General features: G+C 37.2%; 2 annotated features.

Annotated features, from left to right (window-relative positions):
- Nucleotides 204-283: an enhancer, noted in NCBI's record as "active region_22774". NCBI's record gives its function as "activates an Ori minimal core promoter by ATAC-STARR-seq in GM12878 lymphoblastoid cells {active_cell/tissue: GM12878}" and the evidence as "EXISTENCE:reporter gene assay evidence [ECO:0000049][PMID:35858748]".
- Nucleotides 6,970-7,527: an enhancer, noted in NCBI's record as "NANOG hESC enhancer chr5:89294234-89294791 (GRCh37/hg19 assembly coordinates)". NCBI's record gives its function as "activates a minimal SCP1, AML or CMV promoter by ChIP-STARR-seq in primed H9 embryonic stem cells {active_cell/tissue: H9 hESC(primed)}" and the evidence as "EXISTENCE:reporter gene assay evidence [ECO:0000049][PMID:30033119]".

Genomic DNA, 15,670 nt, shown 5'->3' on the forward strand with positions numbered 1-15,670 from the left:
CATCTGGTAGCCTTTCCATGTTGTGGTATTTAGTGTACTCAGTAGATCCCATGGTCGTTGTCCTGCTCCTACACTTCTTTAACTGTGAAGTGTGTTTTGCTGGGGGACTCTATGCACTATGGGATTCCATGCCTGTGGGTAAAGCACTCTGAATGTCTCTGGATGGTGGTGTCTCAAATATTATTTAGAAAGACAAACTCAGGTGTTTGAATATCTTAAATATCATAAGAAAGAGAAACTCATGTTCAAAACACATCTATTTCTGTGAGAAAAACAGCTGGGCCTTCTAGGACAGAGTGAGGCCAAATGTAGTCAACTTGCTACCAGTGGGTGGTTGGTCTCGTTAAGGAAGAGAAACATTTTCAGAGACTCAGCATTGACGATAGCTGATCAATGCTGAGTCTCAGCCTTGGCAAATGAGAGTCATGCTGTTGGGCTTATGTGAACCTTCCATCTCTGCTGCTGAGTCCTTTCTAGTCATGTGTTCATTAAGCCAGTTCTGGGGTGGCTTATGACAAAGGCAGACTAATGTCTACCAACCAAGTCATTCTTACCTACTTTGTAGTTCCGTGATTTTTCTACAATAATGCTTTCTGGTGGGTATTCACAAGCCATAGAAAGCTCTTCACACTTTGTGCCCACTCCCATGTGTTCATCCACATGCTTCTACCTCAGACATTCCTATCTTCAGTTTTCCAGGCCCCTGAGAAGCCAGCCAGGTTATTTGAATTGCTCATGACTCTGTATATATTCTCACTTCAAGCTACTTCTTCCACACAAAATAGCTGTACCACTTGAAACTCTGACATTGGAAAGATTTCTCTCACCATTGTCTGAGTGTAGCTTATAAAGCAACCACGTCTATTTTTGGTTTGACCCATATACTGAACCAACCCATCTGTAAGTTAAGCTTGGACTTGTTCTGCTTCTTCAGCAGTCATGAAGGACACCTGCATTGCCCCTATGGTCATAGATGTGAGCTGAGGAAAGCTGCTGGTGCAACCCTGTGGCTGACGTGAAAAGTCAATGACGTCTAAGCTACCTGCTCATGCAGATTTCTCATCCTCACTTGTCTGCTCAGGGTCAATGCAAATTAATCATTTATTATGATCAACTGATGCTGGTTTCACTCAATGCCTTGAGGGATCCAACAGAACCCAGCTCATATGAGTCTCTACAAGGGTCTAGTAACATCATGAGGCAGATGCTACCCCTCTGTTGATGGCATAGCCTTTCTCTATAACCCTAGAGCCTTTGGTTCTCTAGAACCCTAGAGCCTTTGGGATGATTCTCCCAATGGGCTTGACATAAGTTTTACACTGTACCTTTTCCCACCACTGACACCTCCAGCATCATAGGATCTGCTAGATAGCATACCCAAAGAAAACATTTGCTTGCCTTGCGTCTGAATCTGCCACATAGCCCTTTCCTGTTCCAGGCCCCACACAAAGCTATAAGTCTTTTGTATCATTTAGGATATCCGCTGAAACAATATGTCTAAGTATGGAAGATATTACCTCCAAAATGCAAAGAGGCTTACCAAATGTTATACCTTCTTTTTTAGTAGAGGATACATGCACCAATTTGTCTTTTATTTTAGATGAAAAACCTGGCATGCACTTGACCACTGAACCCCTAAAAACTACAAAAGTGTCGGGTCCCTGAATCTTCAAAAGGTGTATCTCCCAACCCCTGGGACACATGTGTCTTACCAAAACCTCCAGCATCCTAGCCACCTCTTGCTCATTCTTTTTTATCAGCATGGTATCATCAATTTAATAGATCAATATGATGCTCTGTGGGATGTCTAGATGGTCCAGATCTTTTCTGACTATCTTATGTGAGAGAGTTGAAGCATTAACATATACCTAGGGCAAAATATTAAGTGTATACTATTGTCCTTTCCTTGTGAATGCAAATTATTTCAGATTCTTTTATTCTAATTGCAATAAAAAGAATGAGTTTGCTGTCTCAAAGCCTCATGCCATATGCCCAAGAATTCATTAATCTATTCTAGCAAAGATATTACGTCCAACACAGCAGCTGCAATCAAGAATATTACTTGGTTGAGTTTATAGTAGTCTATAGACATTCTATTTGGTTTCTGTAGGGACTAGACTTGTGAATTAAATAGAGAAATGATAGAGAGCACCACTCCTGCATCCTTAAGGTTCTTGAGGGTGATTCTAATCTCTTCTATCCCTCCCAGAGTCAATACTATTTTTTATTTACTCTCTTGGTTGAAAGAGGAGGCAATCCCAAAAGCTTCTACTTGGCATTCTCTGATAGCTCTTACTCCACAGGCCAAAAATTCAACTGGGGTTATTCCAACTGCTGAGTATTTCAATTTTACACTTGGGAATTGAAGAAATGACATTTGGGTGAACGTACTCTAAGAATTTACCCAAGACTCCATTGATTATTTGGCCCATGTATTCCCTGAACTTGAACAGGGACATGATAATGCTTCAGATCTCCAGGTATTGTCAGTTGAGACCCTATGTGCAACAGCTCTGAGAATATCTGGCATTCCTCTTTCTCCAGTGTATGGGCACCAATGTAAATACTCATAGATCCATTTGGGGAAATATCAGAGGAATCATACAGTAAATACATGACATTGTAATACCACGTGTTCTCTGGGGGATCTAGCCATCACATCAGTTATTGGATTCTGTGTCAAAAAACTGACTCAGGTCTTGAAACTGGACAAGACAATGTGACTTCCTTTTGGGGCAACCACCCTCAAATGCCTGCTCATCTGTCCTTGTCTTCTTTTTATTGTGTATGTTAAGTAACACACAAAATATCTGTCTATTTTTGACCTAGGAGTACCATGTTCTATTAGCCACCAAACTGCCCTGTGGACAGCCTTCTTGGCTGTTCCTTGGACTTTGCCAATTCTTAAAATAATAGTAATCCCCTGGCTTTTAATGCTTAAATGATGACACATCAGCTCCATTTCTTCAGAGCCTCATCATTCCCATGAGCTTGTGAAGATACCAGCTTTGTGACTGCTACCCCTGAGAGTTATTCTAACAATAAGTTTTCCCTTTTCTCTGGGATCCTTGGCAGGGTGTTAAATCCCATGTGCAGATAAAATGCCCTTAAGTAAATGAACTCTTGCTCATGCAGTCTTATGTTCCAGCTCTCTTGATCAAACATCCTCAAAATCCAATCCCATGACTCCCATCAGTACATGCTAACTAATCCTTGCAGCTTCCTCAATGTCTGCTGTAAGTATGCCCTTTACTCTGATCCTCAAATTCACAAAGCATCTTTTATTTGCCCTCAATCCCATTAAGATCAAGCCCTAACTCATATGCTTACAATAAAGAGCATAGCCATACATTTATGTTACAAAAGTGTTTAATTTTAATAAAACAATTTATATCTGTTCAGATTCTTTAGCGCAGGAAGTAGAAACTCCCATAGTTGTCCTTAGGTTTTGATTCACCTTAAGCTGAGTTTCCCTCAGAACCACAATATGGATGCCAGTGGCAACTGGGCCACTAGTTTAGAAGGGGACAGAGCAAGCATTTCTTTCCTCCAAGCAGAAATAAAATCTCTCCTCTCTGGTGTGATTGAGGCAATATGGCCCATACGCCACTGCTGGCACTGGACCATAAGAGTCACTGGGGATACTGCAGCCTGATTGGCTCTGTCTTGACTAACTCATTAACCCCATTCATAATACATAGGAATTTTTGACTTCTGGTATATTTGCTTTTGTTATTTGTGATATTTTTGTTTTGTTTTATTTTGTTCTGTGCTGTTTTTACAGCTATAACCCCAGCACATAAAATAGTGCCTGGTCATAATTGGTACACAGTAAGTATTTGTTGAACAAATGAATGAACTGAGTAATTAGGATGACCTTCTGAAGGTGAGGATAGGGTGGATTTCTGAGCAGAATTGAGGAAACTATCAGGAAGGAGAAATACACTAGGCAATATCATCTCCCTCTCTATTTTAAAGCAGACATAGTGTAAGCAGTTCTCTCTCAAGCTGTGGGCTGCCACATTGTGATGGTTAATTTTTTTGTGTGTCAACATAACTGGGCTAAGGGATGCCCATCTAGCTGGTCAAGCATCATTTCTATGTATGCCTGTCAGGGTGTTTCCAGATGAAATTGGCATTTGAATTAGTAGACTGAATAAAGAAGATTGCTTCACCAATGTGGGCAGGTATCATCCAATCCTTTAATGCCTCAAATAGAACAAAAAGGCAGATGAAGAGTGAATTCACTTTCTCTTCCTGAAATGGGACATCCATCTTCTCCTGCCCTTGGGCAATGGAGCTCCTAGTTCTCCAGCCTTTGGACTTTGACTTGGACTTATACCAATGGTTTCCCTTATCCTCAGCCCTTTGTACTTGAACTGAATTACACACTAGCTTTCCTAATTCTTCAGCTTGCACATGGCATATTGTAGGACTTACCAGCCTCCATAACTGCATGAGCCATTTCCCATAATAAATTTCCTGTTACATAACTATGTTACCCTAGTTCTGTTTCTTTGGAGACCCTGACTGAAACACACATAAATATTTCAATAGAAGAAAACAACTTTCAATTGATATGTAGGATTAATCAAACAAATGCTCTTTGTCCCTGAAAGTGTGTTCGGCCTCAGTTTGGAAATGTTTACTTCTCTTGGTATTAATAAAAGTTAAGGCATTTTTCTCTATGTTAAAGAATAGTACTTTACAATGTTCTTAAGGAGATATTGTACTTTTAACACTACTATACACTCATATGTCTGATATTCAAAATAATCACTCTCAAGCAATATAATATCTAAAGTGAGAATTCAATATCTTCTGCCATTAACAACATCATTAATAACAAATGTCTGTTTAATTACTCTTGCTAAGATTAAAAAGGCCATTATTCTTGTAACTTGAGAAATTCATTAGCTGGAAAAGGCTGCTTAATGCCAAATGCACTCCTTAAAGATGTAGTCCCCGATATTTGAAGGTATTTCTGACATTCATGCACTTGCATTACTTTAAAAAAGCACTATCCAACTGTGCTGAAGATCATGCTGTGACAATAAGCAAGCACTGTAACATTTCAAAATCAGAAATGAAGCTACAAGACATTTTACAATATCATACAGAGTCTGTTCTTTGGAATATTTAAACTCCACACACTGAGCCTATTATTCATCATTCACCTCTCACTAATTCTGTGCTCAAATGAGTCTTGTACCAACACAGTGCATCCTAAAGTACAGTTAATATTCATAAGCACCTCCTCCAAAGGGATTCAGAGCCATAACTTAAGATCTCTGCAAGTCAATTTTAAAGTCTGAGACTTCAAGGAATTTAGACCCATTAAATGAAAATTACAAGATGGGATTTTAGAACAACATCATTCTTAATCCACTGTTTCAGCTCAATATATTTTTAGCACAGAAACCTACTTAACATTTAGTAAGAATTAGATCAGTGACAGTGTACTCACAGAAAGCAATTTAAATTGCTTCAATGATAATGGTTATATACCATGTGTTGCATCATTCTTTCACTCTTTTGCCACTGTAAACCATAAAGCAGAGTCATAAAACAAGCTATAATGAACGATTTCGCCTTGCTTCTGAAGTGCATCTACTCACTGAACCTGATTGCATTTTGCGCTTTCATAGGTTAGGCTCTGAGAGATAAGATTTCAAAACCAGAGGGACAGAAAGAACTACAAAGTTCAAGCCAATGAAGGTGAATTACTATCTGGGAGAAAGTTGCTGCTCATAAAGAGGAAGTACGCGTCTTGCAATGAGAGAATGTTCTCCCTTTTTCCTTCCTTCCTCCAGTAATATAAATTGGTTACCTCCTGTGTTGGGAACTATGCTACAGCCTATCCAGAGTTTAATAAGACATGATGTCTACCATCCAGTAGCTCTTACCACCTGTTTGAGGCTGCTAAACCTGCTGACCGGTGGACCCAATCCTGTTGCAGGTGCTGTGCTGGATGTTTGTGCAGAATGTAGTAAGACACAAAAAGGGAGTGGGAGGTTCTTTAGAGGCAGTAAAGGCATATGAAAATCCATTTGAGCTTTGATGGATCTTGAAGGATAACTAGAGCCTTGGTCATTTCTCTTTACTTGTCTTTCATGTGATAGGGCAAGGTGGGTGAAAATAGTCTGTACCAGCCTCTAGCTTTAGTCAGTGAGCTTGACATCTGTTCCTTTCTCCTATGCATGTGACTACAGTTTTTCTAGTTTGGTCTATTTATTTGTTTGTCTCCATCTCTCTGGAGAGGCACTGGAAATGGGCTCATGGCTTCAGCACCATTTGCCACATTGCTTCTTGGGATGCTTACCTTTAGAAAAGGCAATGTCTTCTAAATTTTGTCTGATCAATTTTTATCTATCATTGCTCTCTGTTGGGATGCACTGGTGCTCAAAGTATAAACATACAAGGATGATAACCAAAAGCTAGAGGTTTAATTTTTCTTCATTTCTTGACATGAAAATGCAGTGCTTAACTGATTTTAAGTACTTGGGACGATTAAGTTCATTGATGGTGCTGTAACAATTTGTGATAGTCAAGTGAAAGTGACACATACTTGATTATGCAGAAAATAAGGACAGCTCACTCTAAGGGGAAATTCTCTGTTAAAATTAGCCATCAATAAATGAAGTGCTTTTCTACTTGCTAAATTCTCTGATAGTGAATGTGGGAAAATCAAAGTTCAATGTCATTAATTAAGAAAGTCGATAAATATATCTATTTTAGAAAGATTATTTTGATTACATGACCTGTTATCTCTAAGATTTTTATGATTTTATACAACATTATTGTTTTAGACAAAGCAATAATCTTTTTGGTCTTTAAAAATTCGAAGACAGCAATATTCTGTTTGTTTTCATGAAGATAAAATGATGGTATCAAGAACAATTGCATTAAAGTTGGCATGTTTTCTTATTTGGAACTTTTTACCAAATTAATACCTCCGAATTTTGATGAATAAAAGTATTGTGGGAACAAAACAAAAATACTAGATAGCATCCTCATCTGCATCAATGACATTCTTGTCAACACATGCAGAGTGTCTTACTTGATAACATGAATTGCTCTTTGACCCTGGCTGGAGCTTAGTGTCTGAATTTAGCTGTGCTATCTGTTTCTGAAAGAAGTGAAAGAAATAACAGGTAGAGTTTTATCTAGGAAGACTCTTTAAGTGTTAGCATTCCGGTAGGGAAAAAGGCCAGGATTCTATGGCTGTGGAATCCCTGGGGTTTTTAAAGATTGCAGAACAATCACAGTTAGTCCCCTAGGGCTGGAACACGGTCTGCATATTACAGTTCTGGTATCTGAGCAGTATCCCTGGCTCAGCTTGAGCCTTTAGATACCTAAGCCAGACTTCAGCTTGGCCCTGCCTTGTTCTACCTTATGTCATCATTTTTGAGGCTTCTGGTAAAGGAAATCACATATAATTTTTCACACAATGAAAACTTCATAAAATGCATTAAAATAATTCAAACATGCCACATGTTTCCTGGAGAACCTTTCTTTACTCTGCTACATCTTTACCACCCATAGCCCTTTGAGCTTGTTCCATGGAGTACAAAAGGATCTTCTTGCCAAACTCATTTGATCTTATCATCAGAAACAGCGTTTTAGTCTTCATGACTGGGGGTTTTATCATGCATGCTTTTTCTCATACACATATACAAACACATGCACATAGATATTCTAAACTTGAGTTTGCATTTCCATGGGAACTAAATAGACATTTATAGTACAGATAAAAATGAAAGGGGAAAGGCATTTTTTTCTTCTATAAAAGAATCATTTTTATTCTGTGAAACTCTATTGGGAAATTTTAAAAGGTAAGACTGTAACTCCTTAAGTGGAAAAAAAAAGCCTGTTTTTGCTATGAACATTAAAATTCACACAAAATTGGTTGAAAGTCTAGCCTAGGATAGAAAATGTGTGTGTGTGCATATTAAGAGAAAGACATATATAGATACAGGTATATATATATATATATATATATATATATATATATATATACATATATACACACACACACACACACACACGTATATATATAATTTTCCAAGTAATTTAATAATGGTATAGTTTTTAACTTTTAAAAATCCATGAGTATAAAATATATAAAATATTTTACATGGAAATTAATTTTCAGTGAAGGTGATTAGGCTTTAATTTCATGAAATAACACAAGGAACTGGCTTCACAAATAGGACAGGAATTTCTCATTTGATAAATCAGTTTGAATTTGATTATTTGGTATGTGGGTTGAAAGATCTTGGAGAAAATTTTGACTCAGAGTCACAGCTTTGTATTCAAGATAAAGTAATAGTAAGAGGATAGAAAGAAACATTTGATTTCTAGTATAGTTCTATTGGAAAACCTTTTAAGCTACCTTAACGAGAAGAAGAGGTCATTTAATATGAGGATAAAGGAACTCAAGAATAGGAATACAGCTGAACTTCAGGAAGAAATACACTGAAATCCAGAGCCAAAGGGTCATACATAATTTGAGAACTCTTCTCTCCTAATCTCTTATTATCCACTCCTATTATTACCCAGATATATATTCTTGTTGTGATCTCGGTCTAGCCCAACCCTTTCTGCTTCCTAAGCCACTTAAAAAGATCCTTCAAGTTCCTGATTTTCTAAAAGAGCAGTTAGAGTGGAGCTAAAATGTATTATTAATAATACAAGTTTATATTTTCAGGTAAATACTGATTTCCTAGTTTGGGTAAAATATTTAACTTTGGACAAATCAAGTGTGGCAAGGTGAAAAGAATCACATTTTATGCACATTGTTGCCCTGTTACTAGGTAGACTGAAGGGGAATAGCAGTCCTTAGAAAATGAGCAGGCAATAAGTTGAGCTACACTTACTGTGTACCAGGCAGATTTCAAAGACTATATGAAACCCTTCCTCCACCTGATGGTTTTTCTCTATCTTCCCTGGTAGCTGAAGACAAAAGACATAAACTCTTGAAAGCTCTATGGCACTGCCCATCACCTGAGAAACCCAGTACTTATCTTGGTCAATGTAGGGCAGGATTATATCCTCCTTCTGCTACTACAACTGATACTCTCACGAAGGCGCCATCTCCTGGCTGGAGGCCAACTAACTCAAGCCACTACAGTAACTCATAACAGAATAACTCTGCTCCAAAGAAGGAAAAAACAATAGCCAATTTCACCACCTTCAACACACTGACTAACCAGAGGTCCTGAGTCTGTCCACATGACAACTTCATTGCTAGCATTTGAGAAAACCAGTGCACTAAACAAAACCACAACCAGTGCACTAAAGAAAACTTCAGCCAGTGCACTAAACAAAACTGCAACCAAGGATTCCCACAGAGTCCACTTCACTTGCCTGCCACCTCCATTGCAGCAGGTGCTGGTATCCATGGCTGGGAGACCTGAAGATGAATACCATCACAGGACCCTGCAAACACTCCCCAGCACCAGCCTGGAGCTTGGTAGCCCTGTTAGGTAGCTAGACCCAGAATGACAATAACAATCACTGCAGTCTGGCTCTCAGGAAGCCCCATCACTAGGGCAAGGGAGAGAGTACCACATAAAGGAATCAATTCATGGACAAAAGAATCTGAACAGCAGCCCTTGAGTTCCAGAAATTTTCACCGAAACAGTCTACCCAAATGAGAACGAACTAGAATAGTAATTCTGGTAATATGACCAAACGAGATTCTATACACCCCTAAAAGATCACACTAGCTCTTCAGCAATGGATCCAAACCAAGAAGAAATCTCTGAATTGGCAGAGAAAGAATTTAGAAGGTTGATTATTAAGCTACTCAAGGAGGCACCAGGGAAAGGTGAAAATCAACTTAAAAATATTTTTTAAAAATACAAGATATGGATGGAAAACTCTCCAGATAAATAGATAGCATAAAGAAAACACAATCACTACTTCTGGAAAGGAAAGACACACTTAAGAGAAATGCAAAATACACTGGAAAGTTTCAACAACAGAATTGAGCAAGTAGAAGAAAGAACTTCAGAGCTCAATGACAAGGCTTTCAAATTAACCCAGTTTGACAAAGACAAAAAAACTTTTTTTTAAATGAACAAGGCCTCCAAGAAATTTGGGATTATGTTAAACAACCAAATATTAAGAATAATTGGTATTCCTGAGGAAGAAGAGAAATATAAATATTTGGAAAATTTATTCGAGGGAATAATCAAGAAAAACTGCCCTGGTCTTTCTAGAGATGTAGACATCCAAATACAAGAAGCTCAAACAACTCCTGGGAAATTCATCACAAAAAGATCAACACCTAGACACATAGTAATCAGGATATCTAAAGTCAAGATGAAGGAAAGAATATTAAGAGCTGTGAAGCAAAAGCATCAGGTAACCTAAAGGAAAATGATCAGATTAACAGCGGATTTCTCAGCAGACACCCTGCAAGCCAGAACGAATTGGGTTCCTATCTTTAGCCTCTTCAAACAAAATAATTGACAGCCAAGAATTTTGTATTCAGTGAAACTAAGCCTCATAAATGAAGTAGAGATAAGGTATTTTTTTAGACAAACAAATGCTGAGAGAATTTGCCACTATGAAGACAGCACTACAAGACATGCTAAAAGGAGTTCTAAACATCTTGAAACAAAACCTCAAAATACACCAAAATAAAACCTCCTTAAAGCATAAATCTCACAGGGCCTATAAAACAATAACACAATGAAAAAAAAGTATTCAGACAAACACCACCATGATGAATAAAACAGTACCTCACATCTCCACACTAATATGAATGTAAATGGCCTAAATGTTCCACTTAAAAAACACAGCATGGCAGAATGAATAAAAATCCACCAACCAAATATCTGCTGTCTTCAAGGGACTCACCTAACACATAAGTACTCACATTAATTTAAGGTGAAGGGATGGAAAAAGATATTTCAAACAAACAGAAACCAAAAGCAAGCAAGCATAGCTACACTTACATCAGACTAAACAGACTTCAAAGCAACAACACTTAAAAAGATAGTGACATTACATAATGACAAAAGGATTAGTCCAGCAGGAAAACATCACAATCCTAAATATATATGCACCTAACACTGGAGCTCCTAAATTTATAAAACAATTACTACTAGACTAAAGAAATGAGATAGATGGCAACACAATAACACTGGGGACGACAATACTCCACTGACAGCACTAGACAGGTCATCAAGACAGAAAGTCAAAAAAGAAACAATGGACTTAAACTATACCTGAAAACAATGAACTTAAGAGATATTTACAGAATATTCTACCCAACAACTGCAGAATGCACATTCCTTTCATCAGCACATGGGAACATTCTCCAAGATAGACCATTTAATAGCCCACATAAGTCCTGATAAATTTAACAAAATAAAAGTTTCAAGAAGTACTCTCCCAGCCCACAGTGGAATAAAATTGGAAATTAACTGCAAAAGGAACCCTCAAAACTATACAAAAACATAGAAATTAAATAATCTGCTCTTGAATGATCTTTGGGAAACAAGGAAATCAAGATGGAAATTTAAAAATTATTTGAACTGAACAATAATAGTGGCACAACCTATCAAAACCTCTGGGATACAATAAAAGTGGTTCTATGAGGAAAGCTCAGAGCATTAAATGCCTGTATCAAAAAGTCTGAAAAAGCACAAATAAATAATCTAAGCTCATATCTCAAGGAACTAGAGAAACAGGAACAAACCGAACCTGGACCCAGCAGAAGGAAAGAAATAAGAAAGATCAGAGCAGAGCTAAATGAAATTGAAACTATATATATATATATATGTATATATATTTATATATGTGTGTATATATATATGATAAATGAAAAAAGCTGGTTCTTTGAAATAGTAAACAAAATTGATAGACCATTAGCAAGATTAACCAAGAAAAGAAAAGATCCAAATAAGCTCAATTAGAAATGAAATGTGAGATAGTACCATCAACATCAAAGAAAACAAAAGATTATTGAAGGCTACTATGAAGATTATTATCCACACAAACTAGAAAACCTAGAAGAGATGGATAAATTCCTGGAAATATACAACACTCCTAGATTAAACCAGGAAGAAATATTAACAGAAACTCTGAACAGACGAATAACAAGCAGCAAGACTGAAACTGTAATAAAAACAAAATCCCAACAACAACAACAACAACAACAACAAAAATCCAGGGCCAGATAAATGTATAGCTGAATTCTATCAGACATTCAAAGAAGAATCGGAAATTACTCCCAAAGATAGAGAAAGCGGGAATCTTCCCTAAATCATTCTATGAAGCCAGTATTATCCTAATTCCAAAACCAGGAAAGGACATAATAACAACAACAGCAACAACAAAAATACAGACCAATATCCCTGATTAACATGGATGCAAAAATTCTGAACAAAATTTTAAATAACCAAATCCAATAGCATATCAAAGAGATAATCCACAATGACTAAGTGGGGTTTATACCAGGGATGTAAGGTTGGTTGGTTGAATATACAGAAACCAATAAATGTGATACAGCACAATTAAAAACAAAAATCATATTATCATCTCAATAAATGCAGAAAAAGCATTTGTCAAAATCTAGCATCCCTTTATGATTAAAACCACCAGCAATATCGGCATGGATAAACATAGCTTAAGGTAATAAAAGTCATCTATAACAAACCCACGGCCAACACTATACTGAATGAAAAGTTGAAAGCATTTCTCCTGAGAACTTGAACAAGACAAGGATGTCCACCTTCACCACTTCTATTCAATATGGTACTGGAAGTCCTTCCTGGCCAGAGTAATCAGACAAGAGAAAGAAATAAAGGGCATTCAAATCAGTAAAGAGGAAGTCAAACTGTCACAGTTGGCCAATGATATAATGGCATACCTTTGAAAACCCTAAAGACTCATCCAAAAAGCTCCTAGATCTGATAAATGAATTCAGCAAGGTTTCAGGATACAAAATCGCTGCTGGCGTATAGCAGTGCTACACAAATCAGTGACCAAGTTGAGAATCAAATCTATAACTCAACCCTTTTTGCAACAAAGCAGCCAAGTCGAGAATCAAATCAATAATTCAACCTCTTTTACAACAGCTGAAAAAATAAAATAAAATACTTAGGAGTATACCTTAGCAAGGAGGTAAAATATCGCTACAAGGAAAACTACAAAACACTGCTGAAAGAAATCACTGATGACACTAACAAATGGAAACACATCCCATGCTCATGGATGGGTAGAATCAATATTGTGAAAACGACCATACTACCAAAAACAATCTATAAATGTAATGCAATTTTCATGAAAATACTATCATCATCTTTCACAAAACTGGAAAAAAAAATCCTAAAATTCACATAGAACAAAAAGAGCCCACATAGCCAAAGCAATACTAGGCAAAAAGAACAAATCTGGAGGTATCACGTTGCCTAACTTCAAACTATACTATAAGGCTACGGTTAACCAAAACAACATGGTACTGATCTAAAAACAAGCACATAGACCAATGGAACAGAAGAGAGAACCCAGAAATAAAGCCAAATGCAACCAACTGATCTTTGACAAAGCAAACAGAAACATAAAGTGGGGAAAGGACACCCTTTTCAACAAATGGTGATGAGATAATTGGCAAGTCACATGTAGAAGAATGAAACTAGATCCTTATCTCTCACCTCCTACAAAAATCAACTCAAGATGGATCAAAGACTTAAATCTAAGACCCAAAACCATAAAAATTCTAGAACATGACATTGGAAAAACTCTTTTTAGACATTAGCTTAGGCAAAGAGTTCATGACCAAGAACCCAAAAAACAAATGCAACAGAAACAAAGATAAATAGATGACATTTCATTAAACTAAAAGGCTTCTGCACGGGAAAAAAAAATAATCAATAGAGTAAACAGACAATCCACAGAATGGGAGAAAATATTTGCAAACTATGTATCTGACAAAGAACTAATATCCAGAGTCTACAAGGAACTCAAACAAATCAGTAAGAAAAAACAAATAATCCCAACAAAAAGTTGGCTAAGGACATGAACAGACAATTCTAAAAAGCAGATATACAAATGGACAACAAACATTAAAAAAAATGCCCAACATCACTAATTATCAAGGAAATCCAAATCAAAACCACAATGAGGTAATACCTTACTCCTGCAAGAATGGCCATAATTTTAAAAATCAGAGAATAGACGTTGGCATGGATGTGGTGAAAAGGGAATACTTTTACACTGCTGGTGGGAATGTAAACTAGTACAACCACTATGGAACACAGTGTGAAGATTCCTTAAACAACTAAAAGTAGAACTACTATTTGATTCAGCTATCCCACTACTGGCTATCTACCCATAGGAAAATAAGTCGTATGAAAAAGACATTTGCACACCCATGTTTACAGCAGCACAATTCGCAATTGCAGAGATATGGAAACAGCCTAAATATCCATCAACCAACAAGTAGATTCACAAAATGTTATATATATACATATATATATACATATATATATACATATATATATGTATGTATATGATACACACACACACACACACACACACACACACACCATGGCATATTACTCAGCCATAAGATGGAACAAAATAATAGCATTTGCAGCAACTGAATGGAACTGGAAACCATTATTCTTAAGTGATGTAACTCAGGAATGGAAAAACCTAACATCGTATGTTCTCACTTATAAGTGGGAGCTAAGCTATGCAGATGAAAAGGCATAATAATGATATAATGGACTCTGGGGACTCAGGAAGGAGTGGTGGGAAGGTGGGAAGGGACAAAAGACGACACACTAGTTACGATGTACATTGCTTGAGTGATGGGGGCACTACAATTTCAGAAATCACCACTGAAGAACTTATCCACGTAATCAAACACCACCTGTTACCCCAAAACTATTGAAATAATAATAATTTTAAAAAGACTATATGAGTGAGAAATATAACAGGAGCAATTGAAGTAAGATATGAGAGAATTGGGCCGGGCACAGTGGCTCACACCTGTAATCCCAGCAGTTTGGGAGGCCGAGGCTGGCGGATAACAGCAAGAGATCGAGACCATCCTGGCCAACATGGTGAAACCCCATCTCTACTAAAAGTACAAAAATTAGCTGGGCATGGTGGCACGCATCTGTAATCCCAGCTACTCGGGAGGCTGAGGCAGGAAAAATCGCTTGAACCCAGGAAGTGGAGGTTGCAGTGAACCTAGATTGTGCCACTGCACCACTCCAGCCTGGCGATAGAGTGAGACACCATCTCAAAAAAAAAAAAAAAAGATGTGAGAGAATTATATGACCAATTCTTTAGCTCTGGATTAAGCAGAAAGTCAGGAAGCTATGCTGTAATCAGAGTATTGGGAGGGTAACTATGGTGGGGAGAATTAGGCAGTTTTATAAAGTTTTCTGTCCATTACCAATGTAAATCATGGAAGGGATAATACACATTTATAAGTATATGGCAATATTTGAATATCCCTGGGAAGTTTTCATCAGAAGGATCAAGGTCTCATACATGGTCTTTGAGAATTTTCCTTAAGGCTTTGCTCCTTAGACATGCAAACCCAAATATTACTTTTTTCAAGACACAATAGCAAATCCATCTCTTCAAGGCAGACTCATGTTAACCCTCCACTGAATGAATCATGAGGCTGCTATATATG

Source organism: Homo sapiens, chromosome 5 (assembly GCF_000001405.40).
Source record: "Homo sapiens chromosome 5, GRCh38.p14 Primary Assembly".
Classification (NCBI taxonomy): domain Eukaryota; kingdom Metazoa; phylum Chordata; class Mammalia; order Primates; family Hominidae; genus Homo; species Homo sapiens.